The following is a 25826-nucleotide window of genomic DNA, read 5'->3' as shown; positions in this document are numbered from 1 at the left end:
CAAGAATTAGAGAATAAGTAAAAAGCCTTCCTTAAGCTCCAAGTTCTGCAGCAGCAAGTGAATGGAGAAAAGAATGTGGGCCAAAGCTGTCAAAGAGTAAATTGTGGAAATCCCATAAGGACTGAAGGGTTCGCAGGTGGCACAGGCGGAGGGGGAAGGGTATAAATACATGAGATGTCACAGGAACAAAGTAGGAGAGGAGGAGGTGGGCAGGAAAGGTCAGTCTGGACAGAGTGGTGGATGTGTGTGTGTCAGGGGTGTGTGCTACAGCAAAGCGGGAACATGTAAAATGATAAAGTAGATTCAAATCTCAATTTTTCTATTTTTAGTATAAAATGTGTAAATCGCTCTGAGCTCCCTATAGTTAGCTGCCTTGATACAGAAGAAACACTGATTGGTTTGGGGAACCTTTCCACATTAGAACATGTGTGCTACTTTAAAAAGATAATCACACCATTCCATGTTTCAGTCTCTTGTATGAAGAAGAAAAAATTAACAAAAAATAATTACACCAGAAAAGAATGCTATGACATGACAAAGCTTAAGTGTGTAATGTTATGGAAATCTACAAATCAGAGCAACATTCCAGGCCAACCACTAGATTCCTGGGATCTGTTTGCTTTTGGCTGCTGTGAAATTCACAGAAATATATATACATGTATTTGCATGAGTAATAAAATTTACACTTTCTCAACAAACAAGTGAAAAAACAGCCATGGCAAAAACTTGATATAATCTTGAAATAATGTCCCTTTTAAACACGTTATTCAGCAAATATCTTTCAAAAGCAACATAAACATACATTGACACTATTTTACTTGGAACCAAAACATTAAGATTTCCACTTATTGCCATGGGAAATAAAACCTAAAGCTGACATTTCCTCTTACGGAAAACAATTAAAAGGTGGTTAGAAAATTTTAAAAAGCAAGGAGAAAAAGCTGAAAGATGTTGGTGTGGCACGCACCTTCTGTATCATCGCGCATTTGCTCCACCAAATCTGTCAAATCCTCCCAAGAGTCTTTGCAAACGGCAAAAAGAAAGGAAAAGAAAGATAAAATGTCATGCAAGCCCAGAAAGAAAAGTGCTATTAAAAACAAGATTTCCAAAGGGATAACTGAAAGGGAGGTTCCTAGGATTCTTTCTACTTATCACAGCGATTAACAGTGACAAGGGCTGGGAGTACAACCAAATAAGCAGAGATAGCAACTACGGTTATTAAATATGTTTCAAAGCTAAGATTAGCAATTTCAAAGTTTCAAATAAAGGGAAACAAAGATGCATATCCTATTAAAAAGCAACACAGATTTATTTTTCTATTGAAAATCAAAGGCTCTTTGTATTCTAAGTGTAGGCGACATTAATCTAACTCAACTATTATTTTGATCACTTCAGGGAATTGAAAAGTATGTGCGATATATTTCTTTTAGATTCAGGACAAATATTATGATGCAAACTAGTGACTTTTCTTAAAAAAAAAAAAAATCCAAATACTTTTTCCAACTCCCCCTCCCCCAATTCTCCTTCCCCAAAACAAAAATAAAGGAGGCTACTTTGAAGATACACAAAATAAATCACATATAATTCAATAAAGCCAGATGTTTATTCACCATACAGAACTAGCAGGATCTGAGGCAGTAACCTACAATCAAGCACATTAATATTTCTGCAGGAAATGAATATTCAGATTAAGTAGAATAAAGACTATAAATAGCCTCAAGTAAATTCACATCATGTTGTAACACCAAATAAGTTCAGGCAAATTTGTGAAAAATGCTTTTCATTTCCAGAGGTTTTTTTAATTTTGGAATTATGTGTCTATATATGTAAAGCAAATGGAAAGTGTCTCATACAGAAAAAAAAATACTGTGAGTTGGCTACTATTATTTTATAGTAAATTAGTGCTGAAATACATTATATATAGACATATTTGCAGAAGTCATTTTCAGGTTCAATCCTTTGACAATATAATGTGCCACAAATCTATATTATGTAGGATTACAGATTCATGAGAATGGACTCTTACCATCCACATTATTACTTTACAGACTTGCTGTGACCTTGCAAAAGTCAATAGAGGGAATATTCCCATTTTGTTCTTTATTGTATTGTATTTAATTAGAAACTCTATTTGTCACCTATGAAGATAAAAGCCTACCTTAGTAAAGCAAAATATGAAGAGCCTCCAAGATTTGTATAGAAAAAGGCTCTGGAAAGTGAATTTCTAGGTAGGAATGCGTGGTGGATACCAGGGATCTCGGACTTTTCCTTGGGCATATCCCATCTAGAACATTTTTCTGTTACAAACAGACATATTTTCTGTTTTCTTCTTAAAACAGAGATTAAAGTTTTAAGTATCAGAGTGATGCAATTAATTTAAGAGAACTTTTCTCCCCCAGAAACTAAAAGGTCTGTCTTTTCCATGTAAAGCTGTTCTCCACTTTACCTTGGCATGCTCAGGACTTTACTACAATAGGTAACATGCCATTCTTTTATACCTCAAGGTCCTTTGAGTCACTATGTACCTTAAGGGTAGATGTTTACAGTGCCACCAGCTTAAATCTTTTCAGAGCTACATAATTAGTCTATTGATTTTTTTTCATTCTTAGACCTGAAACAGGTCTATGGGTGTTTCATCTTTTTTTTTTTTTTTTTTTGAGACGGAGTTTTTCTCTGTCACCCAGGCTGGAGTGCAGTGGCACGATCTCAGCTCACTGCAGCCTCCGCCTCCTGGGTTGAAGCAATTATCCTGCCTCAGCCTCCAGAGTAGCTGGGATTATAGGCGTCCCCCACTGCACCCGGCTTTTTTTTTTTTTTTTATACTTTAAGTTCTGGAGTACATGGTCTGGTAGAAGGTGAGCCTGGCCCCTCTTGTACTTCTTTTTTCTCTGGATGAGGCAACTGGCTGAATGAAGCTCCTTTTCTACAGGGAAGTGCTTGAATGGGCTAAAAAATGCTTCGCCTTTGTTTATGTATCCATGGTTGTGAAATCTCTTCTTGAGGTAGCCTTTCTCTAGCAGTATTGCTATAGGCAACCAAGTGACAGATTTTACAAGGCCTGGGGGTTATTTTGTCCCCTTGAGACCAAGTGTCTTTGATTTAGTGTTAATTTTTAGAATTTTATTATGGTTTCTTAAGGCAACACCTTTCTGAAGCCCCAAACCCAGACACATCACATATAACTCCTTGAAGGGCTATTGTGAAAATAAAAGCTAATAAATTTGAAGTACTTAGCAAAGCATAGGTACTCAATGTCAACTTTACACTTACAACTGGATTTCTCTATATTTGCCGTAATTATTCAAAGACAATAGAGTGAATGGAATTTTAAAAAGCCAGCTAAGCTAAATATTAAAAACAGGAAAAAAAATTAGTCAACCTAAATAAACCAAATGACAAATTAACAGCTGAGGTGCTATTAAACTAACCATAGTATTATTAGCTTGGTAACAAAGCAATTGTCATATATTAATTTTCATAAATGCTTTGAGGTTTTGTTCTAATAAACCAGTAATTTGGGCCAAGGTCTACTTTCTCCACAAAAATATCAGCAAAAAAAAAAAAAAAGACAAATAGCCCTAGAAAAGGTAACACATTAAGTCATCAACACTTCAGCCATTTTAATTTTACTGAGGCTGGGTGTGGTGGTTCATGCCTGTAATCCCAGCACTTTGGAAGGCAGAGGTGGGTGCATCGCCTAGCCCATGAGTTCAAGAACAGCCTACTCAATATAGGGAGACCAGGCTACTTGACAGACTGAAACAGGAGGATCTCTTGAGGCCAGGAGTTTGAGGCTGCAATAAGCTATGATCATGCCACGGCACTCCAGCCTGGGTGACAGAGTGAGACCCAAAAATAAATAAAGTAATATAAAATAAAAACAAATAATATAAATAATAAAAATAAAATAAAATAAAATTTATTGAGCATTTATGGTGAGCAAAAGACTTTACTAATGCAATGGAAGTTAAAAAGATGAAACATCTGGCTGGGCACGGTGGCTCACGCCTGTAATCCCAGCACTTTGGGAGGCCGAGGCGGGCAGATCATGAGGTCAGGAGATCAAGACCATCCTGGCCAACACAGTGAAACCCTGTCTCTACCAAAAATACAAAAAATTAGCCGGGCGTGGTGGCGCATGCCTGTAGTCCCAGCTACTCCAGAGGCTGAGGCAGGATAATTGCTTCAACCCGGGAGGCGGGGGCTGCAGTGAGCCAAGATCGTGCCACTGCACTCCAGCCTGGGTGACAGACCAAAACTCCGTCTCAAAAAAAAAAAAAAAAAAAAAAAAGATGAAACACCCATAGACAATGCCCTTGAGATCTAAATAAGTATGACATAAGCTTTACAAGGAATTAAGGCTGGGCGTGGTAGCTCATGCTTGTAATCCCAGCACTTTGGGAGGCCAAGGCAGGCAGATCGCTTGAGTCCAGGAGGCGGCGACCAGCCTAGACAACATGGCGAAACCCTGTCTCTGCCAAAAATACAAAAGAAATAGCCAGGTGTGGTAGTGCAGCATGCCTCTAATCCCAGCTACTTGGGAGGCCAAGGTAGGAGGATTGCTTGAGCCTGGGAGGTGGAGGCTGGAGTGAGCTGAGATTGTACCACTTGCACTCCAGCCTGGGTGATAGAGTGAAACCCTATCTCAAAAAAAAAAAAAAAAAAGGAATTAATAGGCTGGGCATGGTGGCTCCTGTCTGTAATCCCAGCACTTTGGGAAGCCTAAGCAGGCAGATCACTTGAAGTCAGGAGTTCGAGACCAGCCTGGCAACATGGTGTAACCCTGTCTCTACTAAAAATACAAAAATTAGCCAGGCGTGGTGGTGTGTGCCTGCAATCCCAGCTACTCAGGAGGCTGAGGCAGGAGAATTGCTTGAATCCAGGTGGAGATTGCAGTGAGCTGAGATGGTACCACTGCACTCCAGCCTGGTTGACAGAGCAAGACCCTATCTCAAAAAAAAAAAAAAAAAAGAGGAATTAATATTAGTGACATAAGTGAAGATAAAACAGATTCTTAGGTGAGCAGCTAGGTGACACTAGAACGCTAAGGAGGGCTGAGCCTGATGGGGGGTGAGCGGATGAGGAAAGAAAGCCCTGACCAGTAGACCCTTTGCTCTCATGCTGGAATGGCTATGCTGGCAGAGATAATGTCTCTAAGATACTTTAGCTGGGAAGCTGCTGTCCACAGGACTGGACACTGTGGGATTCTCAGACAAAATGTAGTACATCTCACATACACTCTTAGTTTTATATCTGTATAAGAAAGAAAAAGGAAATCCCAGCATGCAGCTTTTTCATCCCAAAAAGCAAATTCTAGCAATCTTAGAAAAACATGCAGTTTCTCATTGCACAATTAACAGTAAAAACTCTCTTTTGCTTAGGACACTACTGTTAGCTTAAAAAAAAAAAGTAGAGAAAGTAATATCATGAGGTTTTCAGCTGCTGAACCAACTGTCTTGAAAACCACAACTGTATCTTTTGGAAACTTCAGATGTTAATACAGCATGAGAAAAACGCAACCAACTGCAAGCAGGAAAGACAAAACCAAGCTTTGATGAGTAGCTAATATGAAAGTTTATGATACCATGCTATTCAAAATTTGTTTTAATTGTTTAAAGTAGTTTGGCAATGTGTATAAAAATTAAAAACTAAAAATTGGTTAAATATTCAAGTTATACACATAACAATTTTTCTAAAACTGTCTTGGGTAGAAAAATTTAGAAACAACCTAAATGCCTGTAATAAAGAAATAGTCAAAGAAATTATGGCACATCCAGGCCAGGCGCAGTGGCTCACGCCTGTAATACCAGCACTTTGGGAGGCCAGGGTGGGTGGATCACCTGAGGTCAGGAGTTTGAGACTAGCCTGGCCAACATGGTGAAACCCTGTCTCTACTGAAAATACAAAAATTAGCCGGACATGGTCGAAAGCGCCTGTAATCCCAGCTACTTGGGAGGCTGAGGCAAGAGAATCACTTGAACCCGGGAGGCAGAGGTTGCAGTGAGCTGAGACCATGCCATTGCACTCCAGCCCAGACAATAAGAGCAAAACTCCGTCTCAGAAAAAAAAAAGAAAAGAAAAGAAATTATAGCACATCCAATAACTGAAGACATTAAACAAAATGACAAAAATTTCAATTTACCCATATGGAAAAATATTGCAGAGGAAAAAAGGCAGGTCACACAGCACAGGTGTGGTATGATCTTACATGTATAAAATTTTGAGTTTGCAAGTGAACCTTCAGTGTATACATTGAAAAAGTGTATACATTGAAAAAGAGAATCTGATACTAAATCTTAACAGTGGTTATCCCTAGGTATTTGAAATGTAGGTGCATTCTATTATTTTGCATTTTTATACTTTTCTGTATCTTGTGACTTACAATGCAAATATATCACCTCTATAACTAAAGTTGTTTTCATTAAAAATATCTGTACATAATAATGCTAAAGACATTTCTTTCTTTCCTTTTCTTTTCTTTTTTTTTTTTTTTTTGAGACAGGGTCTGAACTCTGCCACCCAGTGGAGCACTGTGGCGCAATCACAGCTCACAGCAGCCTTGACCTGCTGAGCTCAAGTAATCTTCCCATCCTCCCACGTCAGCCTCCTGAGTAGCTGGGACCACAGGCATGCACCACCACACCCAGCTAATTTTTTTTGAGATGAAGTTTTGCTCTTGTTGCCCAGGCTGGAGTGCAGTGATGTGATCTCATCTCACTGCAACCTCCACCTCCTGGATTCAAGCAATTCTCCTGCCTCAGCCTCCTGAGTAGCTGAGATTGCAAGTATCCGCCACCATGCCCGGCTAATATTTTGTAGTTTTAGTAGAGACAGGGTTTCACCAGGTTGGCCAGGCTGGTCTCGAACTCCTGACCTCAGGTGATCCACCCGCCTCGACCTCTGAAAGTGCTGGGATTACAGACATGAGCCACAGTGCCCAGCAGCACCCAGCTAATTTTTATTTTTTTTTGTAGATATAGGGTTTTGCCATGTTGCCCAGGCTGGCCTTGAACTCCTGAGCTCAAGCAATCCGCCTGCCTTGGCCTCCCAAAATGTTGGGATTACAGGTGTGAGCCACCACGCCCAGCCAATATTTTCTTTGAAAACACTATTTTCAACACACTGACATACAATTTTGAGAATATTTAATTATGATGAAAAATATATAATTACTTAGCAGCCATTTGGGAAGAAGTCTTTTTCACTGTTCCTCTACACATGTATTTCTAAGCTCATCAAATCCTTCTATTTGTTCTCTGGAAAAGCTCAAATACCAAAAATTGCAAAGGAACAGATTTTAGTATTTACAGCCCTGTACTCAAAAGCACTTCATAGTAGTCACAGTTGACTGGTGGGGACTAGAGGAACCACAATGAAAAAACATGCCCAATTATATACTCTCCACCTCCCCCTCAGGAGGGGCACCATCAAAAAAGCAAAACACAGAACAGCTACTGAAGAGTACAGAATATGGTGGATGTTCTCAGACGACAGCACTTGCTCTTTCCAACCAGATCTTGGTTGGTACTCAGGCTTGGGAATCTGACAACGTGAATTCCGTTCTGAGCTCTATCACTGAGTGGCAATTATCTTCTCTGGCACAGCATTTCTTTTTGGAAAATGATTCATATTTCAGTGATTAGTTTAGGACAAATGACTCTTGGGTGTCAGAAGCTGATAACCCAAAGAAGAGTTAATGTGAGTTCTGTTATGAAGGGCACAAATTAAAGATTCAAGTAGAAGCTCTGTTTCACGAAAGGTCCAGAAAAGGCTCACCAATAGAAGAAAATACTGTAAGGCACTGTGGTTAATGACAGTGCACTGAAGCCAACGCTAGTGCAAGAGTATCAAAGAGACAGGAAGAAACTGAAAGTAGTCCTGAAACAGGAAGGAAAAGCTGATTTTATGCAGAGTATGTTACGGTCAGATCAGAGGCAGCATGCACCTCTTTCGTGGTTTAGATAGGAACTGGCATACAAGTACAGAGCTACTGATATTTCTCACCCAGATTTAGAATTTTACAAAATCCTGGAAGCTAAGTGGGTAAAACTTACCTTGAAAGGGTGACTAGCCAGGTTATTTTCAGGGCAGAGCAACAAGAAGGGATGAACCGTGTCCAGAAAACTTTGTCCCATAGGCTTCTGAGACTGTATTAAAAGCTACAACCTTCTCACTTTGAGAAGTTCACTGAGACTGCCTTCTGAACACATAATCACAGCTCAGAGAACCTGACAGTGTAAATCTAAGGCTGACTGCACTGGTGGCAACAAATGTTTCTGTAATCTCACCAAGGGCCAATTACAAAAGGGGGTGTGCCACAGTGAAAGCAAAGAACAATAACACAATTCTGTGAAAAAGAGAATCCCAATGACTCAGGTTTTATTTTCCAAACACTTAGGAAAGGAATAAATCAAATGCTGTAAATGCTTCTAAATCTAGACACTGTGGGCCACCCCATACACTGCAAACAGCATTTAAACAGCTATGAAAACAGAGCATGCCAGTAAATAAACACAGGTCTGTGTTTGAAAAAAACCCAAAATAAAATGCCTAATAGAAATATTAAAAAATTATAATGGAAATTGAATCTAAAGCAGTAGCTCTGCTGTGAGGCAAATGTTCCCACTCACAGATGTGTGAAACTGTCATAGAAGGTACTGATATATAATACAAATATCTGTTGGATGGATGATTGCACACCCGTTAATTTTCATAAAGATTTTTCCTTTGAAAAAGGAACATTTGTTTTCATATTAGAGTAATATGTCCTCTTGTAGAATATTTGGGAGATATAAAGAAATATAAAGAATATTATAAAAATCACCCATAATTCCACTATCCAGAGATAATCAATTTTTATATTTTTGATACATTTCCTTTTACTTGTGTTTATGTATACCTATACTTAAAAAAATTGTGACTATAGTAAATATGCAGCTTAAGAGACAGCTTTTAAAGTTATATCCAAACATTACCCTACACATCAAATATTGTTCCACAATAATTTTTAGTGTAAGGTGTTCTACAACTTATTGAATAATTTTCCTCTTAGGCTATTTAAGTTGCTCTCAAGAGTGTGTTACAGGAAGTCAGAATACCGTGATAAATATACAGTACATACATAAACTTTTTGTTTGTATCTCTTATTATTTCCTTAGGATAGGTGTCTGGTACAATTACTGAGAATTAATTTTTTAAGGTCCTTGATTCACAATGATAAAATGATTTCTATAAAGGATGTACCAATGCACATTCCCACTAGCAGAGGCCCCAAGTCGTCCCATATTTTTATCAATACTACGTATTATTAAGATATATTTAAACAACAAATTATTACATTATTCTAAACTTATATTTTCCAAATAATATACAGTCGGTCCAGAATATGAGATAAACAATTAAAAATAAAGAAAACATTAGAAACCATAAATTAAATTGTGTGTAATGGAGGAAGACAAAATCCATTTTTCTTTCTTTCTTTCTCTCTCTCTCTCTCTCTCTCTCTCTCTCCCTCCCTCCCTCCCTCCCTCTCTCTCTCTCTCTCTCTCTCTCCTCTCTCTCTCTCTCTCTCTCTTTCTTTTGAAATGGAGTCTCACTCTGTTGCCCAGGTTAGAGTGCAGTGGCGCGATCTTGGCTCACTGCAACCTCCGCCTCCCGAGTTCAAGTGATTCTCCTGCCTCGGCCTCCCACATAGCTGGGATTACAGGCGCCCGCCACTGCACCTGGCTTTTTATTTTTTTTAATACTTTAAGTTCCGGAGTACATGTGCAAAACGTGCAGGTTTGTTACATAGGTATACATGTGCCATGTTGGTTTGCTGCACCCATCAACTCGTCATTTATATTAGGTATTTCTCCTAATGCTATCCCTCCCCCCAGCCCCCTACCCACCGACAGGTCCCCAGTGTGTGATGTTCCCTTCCCTGTATCCATGTGTTCTCATTGTTTGACTCCCACTTATGAGTGAGAACATGCGGTGTTTGGTTTTTTGTCCTTGTGATAGCTTGCTCAGAATGATGGTTTCCAGCTTCATCCATGTCCTTGCAAAGGACATGAACACATCCTGTTTTATGGCTGCATAGTATTCCATGGTGTATATGTGCCACATTTTCTTTATCCAGTGTATTATTGATGGATATCTGGGTTGGTTCCAAGTCTTTGCTACTATGAATAGTGCCGCAATAAACATACGTGTGCATGTGTCTTTACAGTAACATGCAAATCCTTTCTTTTAAAATGATTTTATGGAGTAATAGGGAATCACTGAGTTCACCAGAAGTTTGTTGGATATCTACGATAAATAGTACACAGTACCATGGGGCCTTCTGAAGAACGCCAAAGAAAAGGTTTGCCCTGAAGAACTTTCTATATAATTTCAGAAATAAGGAATCCCATGAATTAAATAACTGGGGAATGATTTCTAGCATATTCAAACAAATGTCCCAGATGCTAACCAGTGATTCAGGACATGAAAGGTGTGAGATCTGTTAGAGAAGGACTTGTAGATGAAGGGAGTCAGGGGTCCATTACCCTTCCTGATATAACACGGGCATGAAGAATCACAAGTCAGAATAGTAAAACAAAAAGAATAATCAGGATTTTACTGAAGCACAGTCTGACTGGAACAGGTAAGTATGTTGAAAAGGAGTTTGAAAAAACATTGAAAAAATCATCCAAAGAAGGGCATGAGAATGCTTGGCTAAAAGAATAATGATTACCTGTAGCTACTATTTCAAACAATCCATAATCGTGAACATTACTGCTATCACAAACTGCTTTTCAGGCTAAGTGCGGTGGCTCATGCCTGTAATCCCAGTACTTTCAGAGGCTGAGGCGGGTGATCGCTTGAGCCCAAGAGTTCAAGACCAGCCTGGCCAACATGGCAAAACCCTGTCTGCACTAAAAATACAAAAATTAGCCGGGCATGGTGGTGCACATTTATAGTCCCAGCTACTCAGGAGGCTGAGGCAGGAGAATCACTTGAACCTGGGAGGCAGAGGTTGCAGTGAGCCGAGACTGCGCCACTGCACTCCAGACTGGGCAACAGAACGAAACTCTGTCTCAAAACAAAAACAAAACAAAACTGCTTTTCTTATTGCTTTTGTACATCTGCTTCAGAAAGCTAAATTTAGCATATAGAGGTGTCACTTGCCAGCCAGGTCAGTTTCAGCAGTGTACTATTTTTGCTGTTTGGTAGTATATGCACGATTATGTAAATATTTTCATTTACTTTATAAAAGTGAGTGAAAAGAGGAAAAAGAAAACATGTGGACAAAAAACTCAGTCTCCACTTTAAAAGATGGCAATCACTGGCCAGGCTTGGTGGCTCACGCCTGTAATCCCAGCACTTTGGGAGGCCAAGGTGGACAGATCACCTGAGGTCAAGAGTTCAAGACAAGCCTAGGCCAACATGATGAAACCCCTTCTTTACTAAAGTACAAAAATTAGCCGGGCATGGTGGCGGGCACCTGTAATCCCAGCTACTCAGGAGCCTAAGGCAGGAGAATTGTTTGAACCCAGGAGGCGGAGGTTGCAGTGAGCCGAAATCGCGCAGCTGCACTCCAGCCTGGACAAGAGCGAGACTCCGTCTCAAAAAAAAAAAAAAAAAGATGGCAATCACCAAGCATGTCCCAGCTGGGATGCTTTTGGCCTTATCTGCATGCTGACTGTACTTAAGCTGCCAATGCTGTGTTCAATTGTGTATAAAACTTCTGCAAATATGTCATCAGAGACTGGGAAGAAGACTCCTCTTATTACACGCAGGCCTATTGTTGGACTTACACTCTAGAATTCTGGGACAGGAGTGTTGTGTATGGGTTGAACCATTGGTAGTCTGAGTTTGAATCCTGCCTCTACCGGTTATTACACCCTTGAATGTCAGCTTATTTTACTTTTTTTAATTTTTGAGATGGAGTTTCACTCTTGTCGCCCAGGCTGGAGTGAGTGCGGTGGTGCAATCTCGGCTCACTGCAACCTCTGTCTCCCAGGTTCAAGTGATTCTCCTGCCTCAGTCTCCCAAGTAGTTGGGATTACAGGCACCTGCCACCACGCCCAGCTAATCTTTTTTTTTTTTTTTGTATTTTTAGTACACCATGTTGGCCAGGCTAGTCTTGAACTCCTGACCTCAGGTGATCCACCCGCCTCAGCCTCCCAAAGTGCTGGGATTACAAGTGTGAGCCACCGCGCCTGGCCAAATGTCAGTTTATTTGTAAATTGGGGGTAATAGTTGTACCTAGGCTCAAAAGGTTGTTGTAAAAATTAAATGAGAGAATACATTTTTAACACTTGGAGTAAATAATTCCTAGCGGAAAGTAACTAATCAGGCCAGATGTATATTTTATTGCATTCAACTGATCATCTGTGCATCACCTCTCAATGTCAGACTCCTTATCCCTAAAAGAAGGTTAATAGAAAAGCACATATTTTGGCTGGGTGCAGTGGCTCACGCTTGTAATCCCAGCACTTTGGGAGGCCGAGGCAGGTTCAAGGAGTTCAAGACTAGCCTGGCCAACATGGTGAAAACCTGTCTCTACTAAAAATACAGAAATTAGCCAGAAATGGTGGTGGGTGCCTGTAATCCCAGCTATTTGGGAGGCTGAGGCAGGAGAATCGCTTGAACTGGGGAGGCAGGGGTTGTAGTGAACCAAGATTGCGCCACTGTGTTCCAGCCTGGGTGACAAGAGCGAGACTCCATCTCAAAAAAAAAAAAAAAACGAAAGAAACAAAAATGCATATTCCTGGATAACTGATAACTTGTGGATTTTTAATCAATTATTTTCTTATTTATAGAGGTCCAAGAAAGGACAATGCTAAAACTTGAGTTTAAGCTACTACTAATGTTCATCTTTAGTCTGATAAATAACTTGTTCAGACTACTCTATAAAGATAGATATAAAAATAGAAATATAAAATAAAATGGCAATGTATTGAAGAATCCGGCTTAAACTGCTGTGGCTTCAGCTACTGCTTCATGAATAACTACTAATATAAATAGCTACCATTTATAGGGTGCTTTACATTAAGTATCTCATTTAATCCTCCTAACCTCTGAAGTAGTTACCGTTAATATTCCCAGTTAAGAGGAGAGAAAAACTCAAGCATGATGGCTCACATCTATAATCCTAGCACTTTGGGAGACAGAGGTGGGCAGATCACTTGAGGTCAGGAGTTCGAGACCAGCCTGGCCAACATGGGGAAACCTCGTCTCTACTAAAAATACAAAAAATTAGCTGGGTGTGGTGGTATGCGCCTGTAATCCCAGCTACTCAGGAGGCTGAGGCAGGAGAATTGTGTGAACTCAGGAGGTGGAGGTTGCAGTGAGCTGAGATCGTGCCATTGCACTCCAGTCCAGGTGACACTGTGAGACTCTGTCTCAAAAAAAAACAAAAAAACTCAAGCATGAAGTGATCACTTGTGCAACGTCACATGACTACTGAGTACTGGGTAAGGAACTGAATCCAGGTCCAGGTCCAAGCCACAAAATCCATACTTTTAACCACTATCCTATATTATCTCTAAATTAATGACCATCACAGTAGCTAAAACACGAATTGCCAAATCAACCCCATTATTGTACTAATTCCTTTACTGTTCTCAAATATACCCCATATTGACAGCAATAAAGTTTTCCATTGACTAATTTATCCACCCAACTCTAAAGAGACTCATTAGGTATCCAGCAGATTTCTTCAGTCATTTTGAATTCTGTGTCAAAATTCTACTTAGAAATTTCCAAATCTCAAGGCCTCATTTAAAAAAAAAAAAAAAGAAATATCCAAATCTCCACAACAAATTTCCTTTTGTAATCGGAAAAAAGTCTTATTTAAAAAAATCCAACTTAGCTTCACTTTGAAAAGCACACAAAAATTATTTTAAATTGCGATTTTTAACTTGCCTGCCACTCAAACCATATAAATATCCGAAAAATGATAACAGAGAGTAGGAATGTGGAAGAAAAAAGAAAATAGACCAAAAGCTGGACATTTAGTTTAAGAACAAGGAATTGGACTTAGATCACAAATTATATTTTAAAAAAATCTGTCTGAAACACTTTACAGAGTAAAGGCAGTATATGCAAAATAACATTTTCTTTTTTGAAATATGATACTACTGCTGTCTTTTAGGCTAATTTCAATTCACAGACAGTCCCTGGCTTATGAGGGTTCAACTTCCGATATTTCAACTTTACAACGATGAGAAAGTGATATGTGTTCAGTAGAAACCCTACTTCAAATTTTGAATTTTGATTTTTTCCCGAGCTAGCAATACGCCAGGTGATCCTCTCTCACGATGCTGCGCAGCGGCAGCAAGCCGCAGCTCCCAGTCAGCCACACCATCCTAGTCAGCCACACGATCAGCCACAGATCAGGGTAAACAACCAATACGCTACAGGGTACTGTGCTGCCAGATGATTTTGCGCAACTGTTGGCTAATTTAAGTCTTCTAAGCATGTTTAAGGCAAGAGAGGCTAAGCTACTTAAGCTATTAAGTTCAGTAGAGTAGGTGTGTTAAGTGAATTTTCATTTTATGGTATTTTCAACTTAGGATGAGTTTCTCAGGACATAACCCCATCTTAATTCAAGGGGTATCTGTAGTCACTTGAGACAACAAATGAGTCAGGATTTCATTCTTTAAAAATCCTCTTTAAAGTGTAAAAATTTTTATTAACATATACATTTCTAATTAGGTAAACTTATTAAGGGTAAACGTGTTATAAACTGAGTCATAGCTATAGTTGGTTTTGTTGTTAAACACTCAATAATACTGAAGGTAATACTATCCCTGCCCTTCACGTATGTGGACATGCGTATACATAACATGTATTGGTGAATTTCTTTAAAAAAATCTTTTTTTTTTTTTTTGAGACAGAGTTTCTCTCTTGTTGCCCAGGCTGGAGTGCAGTGGCACGATCTCGGCTCACCGCAACCCCTGCCTCCTGGGTTCAAGCGATTCTCCTGCCTCAGCCTCCCGAGTAGCTGGGATTACAGGCACCCGCCACCACGCCCAGCTAATTTTTTGTAATCCCAGCACTTTGGGAGGGCAAGGTGGGTGGATCGCCTGAGGTCAGGAGTTCAAGACCAGCCTGGCCAACATGGTGAAACCCCGTCTCTACTAAAAATACAAAAATTACCCAGGCGTGGTGGCGTCTGCCTGTAATCCCAGTTACTAGGGAGGCTGAGGCAGGAGAGTCGCTTGAACCTGGGAGGCAGAGGTTTCAGCGAGCTGGGAACTCGCCACTGCACTCCAGCCTGGGCAACAGAGTGAGACTCTGTCTCAAAAAAAAAAAAAAAAAAAGTTATTACTTTCCTGATCCTAGAATTATATGTAACTTGTTTTGAGAATGTTACTCCAAGAAATTCAGATACATATGAGCATGTGACTTAAAAAAAATCGCAAAAATAAAATATACCACTTCATCTCAGTAATAACACCATTTCTGAAATTAATATAATGATGCTTAAAGGTCTAACTGAAGCGTTCTGCTTCCATTCTTGAAAAAAACAGAGAACACATGTTCTCTAAAATTTTCATGGTGCTTTAAAAGTTCCTTTACTTTGAAATTCCACTTACTTCCAACATTGCTTCGGTTAAAAAAAAAAAAAAAAAAAAGGAAAGAAATCCCACTACGCTTTCACAAAGTAAAACAAACAAACAAACAAAAGTCTGAGAGGTTATTTCAATGGTGGTACATGTTTCCCTAAATTAAGAAAATGCAAAATGAATTTTCTATAAACAAGGCTGCTCCTCTAGCACTGACATGGCACAAGCAAAGTAAGAAAGTAAGCCACATTCTCACATCTCTGAATGTCCATTTAAGTCTCACTCCTTTTATCTTCACCCCCGCCTTTCCATGTGAGGATTCCAACTCTTAATGTAAATTAGGGTACAGACTTAAGCCAGGATATGTAATCTGGAAAAGTATAAATCTGATTAATGCTTCTGTGGGGCGGGTAGAAGGCTCAACTGAAAGAGTAATGGGCGGGGCACGGTGGCTCACGCCTGTAATCCCAGCACTCTGGGAAGCTGAGGCGGGCGATCACCTGAGGTCGGGAGTTCGAGACCAGCCTGACCAACATGGAGAAACCCTGTCTCTGCTAAAAATACAAAATTAGCTGGGCGTGGTGGCGCATGCCTGTAATCCCAGCTACTTGGGGAGTCTGGAGAGTCTGAGTTAAGGAGAATTGCTTGAACCTGGGAGGTGGAGGTTGCAGTGAACTGAGATAGCGCCATTGCACTCCAGCCTGGGCAATAAGAGCGAAACTGTCTCAAAAAAAAGAAAAAAAAGAGTGATGGTAGTGCTTTTGTTAGTCACAATCTATTAAGCATCAACAACTCAAATGTTCTCTTCCTTCTATATTCCCTACTGGTAAAGGGAACCTAGCTTCTGCAGCCAGAAGTTGGAGAGTCATCCCAGGCACTGCCTTATGTTCATTCTCCAGCCACCCAGCCCCTCAGTCATCGGGTACATTCTGCTTTTCCAGGGATTGTTCCTTTGGTGTTCACTCTTGCTACCTTAATGTGAGATTGTCATCTCTTACCCAGACCATTTTAAAAGTTATAGTTAGGGGTCCCTGAGAGCTTATATCCTTCTGATCCATTCACTACACTGTTGCCAGAGTGATCATTCCAAACACAAATCTTATTTTATGTTACTCCCAGACATAAAGCACCAGTAGCTTTTCACTACAGAATCAAGTGCAGGCTTTTCAGTATGAATAAGATTTCTACAGTCAAGCCCCTGCTTATCTTTCCAGTCTTGCTCCCTGTTGTGCCAAACAGAAGCCCTCTGTGCTCCTGTTGCTATTCCCTGGCTGGGCCAGCTCACTGTGTACTGTTTGAAATGCCCTCCCTATGTCGGTCTGGTGATCACCTGTTTATCTCTTAAGGTCTCACTTAATGAAGCCTCTCCTGACCCTTCTCCTGTGGAGTCAATCACAGGCTCTTGCCTTTAGGGGAAATCTATTTGCAATTAAACTTGTTGTAGATTTGCTGTTGGCTTTTGAAAATAAGAGTATATAAGCCGGGCATGGTGGCTCACACCTGTAATCCCAGCACTTTGGGAGGTCAAGGAGGGTGTATCACCTGAGGTTGGGAGTTCGAGACCAGCCTGATCAACATGCAAAAACCCCGTCTCTACTAAAAATACAAAAATTAGCTGGGTGTGGTGGCGCATGCCTGTAATCCCAGCTATTTGGGAGGCTGAGGCAGGAGAATCGCTTGAACCCGGTAGGCAGAGTTTTCAGTGAGCCAAGATTGCGCCATTGCACTCCAGCCTGGGCAATAAGAACAAAACTCTGTCTCAAAAAAAAAAAAAAGAGTATATAAGACAAAAGAGAGATAATCCCTCATTGACCACCAATAAGCATTGAGATAATGAAGTGAATGCTTTTATTTTCATTTATTTAAGGGTTAAAGTAGGCAGAAACTCTAGGTCCAGGCCTATACTGCGGACTGCTCAGTGAAGGGCCAGGAACTCTGGTTTTAAGAAAATAAAATATGGAAGCCACAGAGCCTCTATTGCTGAGTACACACAGTCAGTCTACATCATTTTAAGAGGGAACATTATGCTGTTTGCCTATTTTCTTTTGTGGGAGTGAGGAGACTTCACTCTAGGATTTGGGTGGTCAGATGTTTTTCCCTCTGTGAATCAGCCCGGAAAGCAGTCTGAATACTCCCGCGTCCAGACATCAGGAGTTCCATTTTGTGAACAAGGTGAGATTCACATAATCATGGGCCTGGTGACCACCACTTAAATGCTTATAGCTAAATTAAATCTAATAACTATCAGTGGTATTAACATAAAAGTGGGTATTTCTTGGGACCAAATGACTGTTTAAATATCCAGAGTTTGGTAATGGAGCAAGGCAGTAATACTCACAGGCTTTCATGGGACTATGCTTTCTTTATTTTCATTTCTAGTAATTTAAAATAATAGCTTTCTTGCCCAATTTAAGGCAAAATTCTAAAATGCACTGTCGGCATTTCTCTATTTTCTTCCAAATCCTCTATAGTTGATTACAGGTCTTGGAAACTCTGTATTTATCTGATTTCTTTAATCAGCAGACATACAATTTATTACTTAGATTATAGCTCTCACACATTTTCCATACTGAGAAATGTGTTGCTACAGATTTCTCTATGAAGAATTCAAATGGCGCTGCTAAAAACGCTTACATGAACCAAACAGCTCACTTTTGCTTATCCATAGGAATCCTGCTCCAAAAACATATATTTGAGGTGTTAAAATTGTTAAAAATTATTTTTGAGACACTGGTAAACTAGATTTCATGATAAAGGGAATATTTCATATTGTATAACTCTCAAATTGGACGGGAATACATTTTTTTCAAACAAAATATGTAAACTGAGGCAGTTGCCAGAAGACTTCTTGGTAGCCTTCTAAAACTGTATTTTTCTTCCCTAAAGACTTTTAAAGCTTTGGAGGCTGTTTTAAGTAGTACTGGAATTGTTGGATGTAACGATGTTTTGATGAAAATATAGAATAAAATAATAATAAAAAATAAATAGTACTGGCATTGCATGGAATTTCAGCTGATGTCTTATAACTTGTGCACATAACGAAACATACAGCCAAAGAAAGCTGTCTAATTAACAAACCAATTGTTAAAAGATGCAAAGGGTCTTAAAAACCACTTAAACATTGTTCTTAAAGACACACCCAAAATGACTGCTTTGTGTTCTGTGTTATTAACCATCCCTAAAACTTTCTCAAGGCTAAGGCTGACTGGGAAGATAAAATGCTTATCAAACACAATGGGAAAATTCTGAGTCATGATAAGATTTCAACTCAAGGTCAAAGGCAGAGAATCACCTTTCCTAACCCCATCTGCTAGGTACAATTCACCTATGGTCTTCTTTGTCCTGTCGATGTGCCTAACTATCAGGCAGATGTTTATAAAGAATTTCTCCTCATATGCAAGCGTTTTTTGTTTTTTTTCATCAGTATAAGGACAGAGAATAAACCTTAGCTAAGAAGCAACTGTATTAAAAACAAAACGATTTGTAGCTATGATTCAAATCAGCTCTCTTTCTGTGGTATTAAGAGAATTAAAGGGTAGAAGCAGAAAACCTCTCATAAATTAGCAAGAGTCCTGGAAAAAAGTCGCAAGTCAAGAGACCACAAAGATCTCAGAGGTACTGACAGTGGAAATCTCAAATGGATCATAATAGTTACCACAAATAATTTATAAAAAGCAATGGCCAATAGATTCCAATATTACCATTCTATTGTAATCTATAGGGATGCCATATTAATCATATTTAACCTTTCCAGGCATTATGCTTTCTTAGGAGTCCATATTCAATAAATAAATGCTGAAAAGTTATTTTCTCATCTAACCTAATAATCCATATTGTTAAAAAAATGTTTTATCAAACATTTCCTAGATGTCATAACTTGCTTAAAATTGTATCCTCATATAATGGTGAGGATACCATTACCAAATACCCTGGTGTTTCTACTGTATTCATCATGTACAATCCTATAATTATAGTCATGTTGTCTTAACTTAGTGTTATAAATCACTACAATTTCTATAACATTTTCATATATGAACAAAATTAATAGCTTTCTCATTATTGAATAGAATCAGATGTGATAAGTGACCTCAAATGTTTTATTTAGAGGCTTAAAGACAAAGAACTCTAAACGAGTATCCAGCATCTTTTGAAAGGATACCTAAAGGGGCAAGAAAAAAAATTATCTTTCCCCCATGAGCAAGAGAAGGGGAGCTGGGTGGTAAGTAAGGATGCAAGGTTTTCAGGACTGTTAACAGTTGAGAGTGTAGGTTCTTTCTACCTCTCCCTGATCCTCCCAGCCCTCCCCCATAACAATGAGGATGCTGGTGAAATACTAGCGGACAGGATCTGACCATACCTTCATGGGTAGGCTCTGGGTCAGGTGTAAGTGAGATGTCATCCAGCTCTCGCAGGCAGAGCCATTCTCCATCCATGGACACTCGGAATTTGCAAAGGTAGATGGTCTCCATGGCAGCCTGTGTGATCTTGTCAGTGGTGGGGGTTGGCATATCGGTCGGAGGCGTCAGAGCAGACATGATGACTCAGCTGGGACCACAACACACACACAGACACACACACACTCACACACACACACCAAAAAAATAAATACAACCTCCTCACCAAAAAAACCCAATACAAAGCTCTGAAACAAAGCTTTCAGGAAAAGGGTGGGGGAGGTTTAAAAAAAAAAAAAAGGAAAAATACCTTATAGGTTAAGAACAAACTGCTCAAGATAAACAATTCTACACTATCTTATAGACAGTTCCTACCACATAGCAAAATAAGATGATGCTTGTCTTCTCCCAGCTTCCTCTCCTTTTATCTTCCCTTCCCTGCCCCCCACCTTTTTTTTCAGCTGAGCTATAGGCTTTAAATCCCGCACAGCTGATGCTGCCTTAGCTGGCTTTAAAAATCTGGCCTCGATATGAGTAAGTGAAAAATCCTCCTCCTTTGTGCAGAAAAAAAATATAAAAGAAAAACCTGAACAAAAAATAAACCTATATTTTCAATGTAGCTTAAAAAAAAAATCCTGAGCTGCAGAAATCACTTCCAGGATCTGCTCAGATGAGCTGGGATGCTGAGTTCTCATAGGATTGGCCGTGCGCAGTAAGCAGGGTGTTGACCAAAATGGCTGACTAATGAACTGAACTGAAAATTCAGGCTCATGTGACCAGCTGCTCTGAACGTAGGGCAAGCAATTCCCAGGATGCTTTATAGATGCTGCTGATGCTGGGAGAGCAATTAGGCTTCTCTCTCTCATCCTGTACAACCCACTTCCAGACTGTGCTAGTCAAACTGTGATCAGACATAACACAATGCACATATCCTCATCAATTCTTCTTACTTTGGGATCAAGGACTGAATAAAAGGATGACAATTAATACCGGATAATAATCTATAGTAAAGATGGTAAAAGAGGCAGTTAGATTAATTTAACAAGCATATAATTCACCTCTTTCATTCTTATCTACATAGCTATTAAAATTCTTTACTATGCTAAATGTTATGTTTTAAGAAAAGCTAAAGCATAAAAAATTGAGGTTCTCAGAGGGAAAAAAAACAAAAAGATAAAAAGAAAAGCTAAAGTAGATTTTCAATTTAAATATCTTATTCTTGGGCATTTATAATTTCCTTCTCCAAGGTACAAAAACCTGACCTTTTAGGTTAGGCAGAAATGCAAAAAAAAAACTTCAAGTTAAAAAAGTAAAATCTTTCCCAATTAATGGCAATTTCCCCCCTTTTTGATTTTGTTGTATTTATCAAGTTTCTGTATTAAGCATAAAATACGTTTCTTTTTTTTTCTTTTTTCTTTTTTGAGACAGAGTCTTGCTCTGTAGCCCAGGCTGGAGTGCAGTGGCGTGATCTCAGCTCCCAGGTCCAAGCAATTCTCTGCCTCAGCCTCCCGAGTAGCTGGGATTACAGGCACCCACCACCACGCCCAGCTAATTTTTGTATTTTTAGTAGAGACGGGGTTTCACCATCTTGGCCAGGCTGGTCTTGAACTTCTGACCTCATGATCCTCCCACCTCAGCCTCCCAAAGTGCTGGGATTACAGGCGTGAGCCACCATGCCCAGCCTTAAGCATGAAATATGTTTCTAAGCAGATTAAACCATGTTATATTTTTAAAATCCTCCCATTCGATAAGATACTGAAGACAATTATATTTTCTTAATACACACACACACACACACACACACACACACACACACACACACACACGGCCCTATATTATCCAATGAGGCATTTATACCTTGGTAGCAAAAGGGCAGGTACTTGCTTTATGAACTACATAAATTACAAAGAGAAGAATAAGAATTTTCTTTGAAAATGTTTTGGACAATTGAAAGAAAGTGTTTGTTTGTTTTTGTATTGAAGGGTTCCAATTTTAAGGAGGAACATACAAATTCAAGAAATATGACCTGAGACTATTCCTTTCTAGGGATTGTTATCAGAGGGACATCTTGATTTACCTAATTTCTGAAAACTAAAAAAATTCTCCTTGAATATTGTTAAAATCTCAAATGCTTCATCATAATTTGAGACTGAACTGAAAGAAAAAAATGCTAATAATCAAATTCTGTAGAGAAACTGGCATTTTCATATTGTTACGAAGACAGGGCGGATGGCTGGGCGCGGTGGCTCATGCCTATAATACCAGCACTTTGGGAGGCCAAGGCGGGCAAATCACCTGAGGTCAGGAGTTCGAGACCAGCCTGGCCAACATGGTGAAACCTCATCTCTACTAAAAATACAAAAATTAGTCAGATGTGGTGGCATGTGCCTGTAATCCCAGCACTTTGGGAGGCTGAGGCAGGTGAATGGCTTGAGCTCAGGAGTTTGAAACCAGCCTGGGCAACATGGCAAAACTCCATCTCTACAAAAACAAAAATTAGCAAGGTATGGTTGCGCGCACATGTGGTCCTAGCTACTTGGGAGACTGAGGTGGAAGAATCACGTGAGGCCAGGAGGCAGAGGCTGCAGTGAGCCGAGATCATACCACTGCACTCTACCCTGTCTCAAAATAAAAAAAAGAAGGAGGGTATACTGGTACAATGTAAGAAGGCATATATATAGGCTTATTTATAATTGGGGAAAATCAGTAAGTTACTAAGGAAAGCAAAATACTCCTGGTTTTATTTCTATCTCATTCTCTCTCATCATTACCCTACATCTAGACTCAGAGCCATTCATTCATTCATTCATTCAACAGATATTCACTAAGAGGTGCTCCACATGCCAGGTAGTGATCCAGGCACTAGGCACGCAGCAGTAAGACAGAAACACCTTTTCCAGGAAACAGAATTTTCATATCCAAATACTGAACACAAGCCTTCATTTAACACATTCTCATTTAATTCAGTTCAATTCCTTTCTAGCCAAAAATATTCCCATATTATATATTAATAAGGGGACAGTTTATAGATTCACTTTATATCATGCAATACTTCAAAACATAGTAAGTAGTCATTAAAACCTTCAAATTACATGGGACATTCCTGGAACCACAACTCCAAACAGCCCTAGCTATCTGTATGTGTGATATCAAAACTCTAGATCACTGATATGTTCTTAAAACAGAACAAGGAATACATGAATAAATCCGAATGCCATGTGATTGTCTGGGGTCCAAAACCTGAATTTGGCCTTGTCACAAACCACAACAATCTCTTCACCCCAGTAAGCATTTACTAACTTGAACAGATCTAGATTGATTGCAACATACCAACACAACAGGAACATCAAGGTTAGTGAGCAAGAAACTTGATTAACATTCCTTCGGAAGATCCATCCCACCCTGCCTCTCTCCAGGTAGAGGACACAGAGAGGCAAGCCCAAAACAACTAAAGTTTTTGGCAAGGAAAGAAAAACATGCCTGTATTGGTATCCTTGAATTTCCCAGATCTACCAGTTTGAGGTGTTGGCAGCCATTTCAGAAATAAGACCCGGGGGTGGGCAAGAAAAACTGTACTTCTACGCTGTTCTTTAGGTAAACACCATTGAGTCTTCAGCACGAACAGTTATCCATTGTTCACAGGCAAAGAAGTTACTATGAAAACAGTGCTATTTGTAGAAACTTATAAAAACAATTCTACGGCCGGGCACGGTGGCTCATGCCTGTCATCCCAGTACTGTGGGAGGCTGAGGCAGGCGGGTCACCTGAAGTCGGGAGTTCAAGACCAGCCTGACCAACATGGAGAAACGCCATCTTTACTAAAAATACAAAATTAGCTGGGCGTGGTGGCACATGCCTGTAATCTGCTACTCTGGAGGCTGAGGCAGGAGAATCGCTTGAACCTGGGAGGCGGGGGTTGCAGTGAGGTGAGATTGCACCACTGCACTCCAGCCTGTGAAACTCCGTCTCAAAGAAAAAAAAAAAAGATTTTAGATATTGCTTAGTACCGTTTTTACATTTTGGTCTTTACTAAGTAAACATCTTAGCTTTGAATATGAAGTTAAAGTTAAGCCATCAGTAAGATATTCAAACCTTGATTTTTTTTCTCACATACAGAGTAATTACTGTATGAGCTGTATTGAACTATTTTCTCATTTGATCCCATTTGTGAGTAATGGCACCTATTTGTAAGATGGTTGTGAGGCGGGTGGGAGTTCAGTCTGTGGCCCTAAAAGAATAGGCCTGTGTGAAGTTCAAATCCAAAATGAAGATCCAAAAAATACTACGTTCTAGCTGCTTAAACAGTCTGTATTTTCCACATTATGATGGATTCAAAGCAAATAAGAGTCACACTTCAAAGTCAGAAGTTACATTCCTCTTAAAGGATATTTGTACTCGGCTGCTACTATAAGACAAAGGTTAACTTGACAGGCTCAATGTCTCTGTTATATATTGTGGAAAAATTACCTAAAATAGCTATCATTTATTAAATTTCTATTTTCTGTTAGGTGCTTTACAAATGCCATGTAAAGGGCTGGGTGCGGTGGCTCACGCCTGTAATCCCAGCACTTTGGGAGGCCGAGGCAGGTAGATCACGAGGTCAGGAGATTGAGACCATCCTGGCTAACACGGTGAAACCCCGTCTCTACTAAAAATACAAAAAAATTAGCTGGGCATGGTGGTGGGTGCCTGTAATCCCAGCTACTCAGGAGGCTGAGGCAGGAGAATGGCGTGAACCCGGGAGGCGGAGGTTGCAGTAAGCCAAGATCGCGCCACTGCACTCCAGCCTGGGCAACAGTGTAAGACTCTGTCTCAAAAAAAAAAAAAAAAAAAAAAAAAAATACCATGTCAAGTCTTCACAAAAGCACTGCAAAACAGAGATTGATACCTTCTCTTTATACACAATGAAACCAAAGTTCAGCCACGTAACTGGCCCAGAATCACACAATTAGCGAGTAGCAGATCTGTTACTCCAAGCTACTTCTGTCTAGATACCTCCAAAGTCCATGTTCCTTCTACACTCTGCAACTTCAGCACTCTATCCTAACTCTTCCTCATCCCCGGATGTTAAATTTTATTCAGAGAAAATAAAAAGACATTTAAAACACACACACACAAACACACACACACACACGCAAAGTCTCTTCATGAAATTTCCTAAAGATGAGTTTCAACAAATTTAAGATTTGAAGAAATTTTTTTTATCAGCCTCCATACTTTACACCTTAATGCTGCACAACCCATACCTTCCTCTAGGCCCCCCAACTTACATATTAAGTTCAGGCTTTTAGTAAGTGGGCACATTCTGACAAACTGAGAACCCAGTATGGACTTTTCTGTCATGGGCTCACAAAGGGTAGATAAAATGCTTCCACTATGTACTTGGTTCACCCTACTACCACTCTGTCTCTGAGTTCCCTCCACATTTACATACTAGTTGGACACATTAAGAACACCTGATAAATTCCAAAATAGAAAAAGATAAATGAAGGGGGGAATCACTTTCTAAAATGATGCATTGTACGCTTTTTAAAAATAGCAAACTTAATGTATAATTTTAAGTCCTTAAAGAATATAACCAATATCCCTGAAACCCTTGCTCAACTGGAGAAATGGACCAACATATGTACTTATGTGCTCCTTCTTGCTTCTAAACTCCTGCCTCTCATTTCAAGGTAACCTTCTGAATTTCGTGTAAATCATTATCTTATTTCAAAAATATTGTCACAAATATATGAAGGTCTAAGCAATATGTTTAGTTTCAGTTTTTTTCAACTTTCTTATAGAAAGTGTTTCATGCTCTATAAAACTTTCTAAGCCTTTCACTCAATGCGTATTTTTTCTTTTCTTTTCTTTTTTTTTTTTTTTTGAGACAGAGTTTTGTTCTTGTCAT

At 39.5% G+C, this 25826-nt stretch overlaps 1 protein-coding gene across 21 annotated transcripts in view, besides 1 other annotated feature; it reads right to left on the bottom strand.

The window, feature by feature from the left end:
* The window catches only part of RUFY3 (RUN and FYVE domain containing 3), a 104853-nt gene that overhangs the window by 65972 nt on the left and 13055 nt on the right, over nucleotides 1-25826 (bottom strand). For 4 of the 21 annotated variants that reach the window (NM_001037442.4, XM_047449826.1, XM_047449830.1 and 1 more), the window contains exon 1: nucleotides 19897-20684. The exons of 11 other annotated variants lie outside the window; for them this stretch is intronic. In NM_001037442.4, the coding sequence (NP_001032519.1) occupies nucleotides 19897-20074 (178 nt within the window). In that variant the 5' untranslated portion in view covers nucleotides 20075-20684. Of the gene's footprint in view, nucleotides 1-967; nucleotides 1022-8054; nucleotides 8239-19896; nucleotides 25091-25826 lie in introns of those variants that run through there. 6 more of the 21 variants (XM_047449829.1, NM_001291994.2, NM_001291993.2 and 3 more) reach the window with 4 other exon arrangements.
* Nucleotides 10981-11230: an enhancer, noted in NCBI's record as "active region_21602". NCBI's record gives its function as "activates an Ori minimal core promoter by ATAC-STARR-seq in GM12878 lymphoblastoid cells {active_cell/tissue: GM12878}" and the evidence as "EXISTENCE:reporter gene assay evidence [ECO:0000049][PMID:35858748]".

This window comes from Homo sapiens, chromosome 4 (genome assembly GCF_000001405.40).
Source record: "Homo sapiens chromosome 4, GRCh38.p14 Primary Assembly".
Classification (NCBI taxonomy): Eukaryota; Metazoa; Chordata; class Mammalia; order Primates; family Hominidae; genus Homo; species Homo sapiens.
Note: the sequence above shows the minus strand (reverse complement) of the source record. Positions and strands in the feature narration are given on the sequence as shown.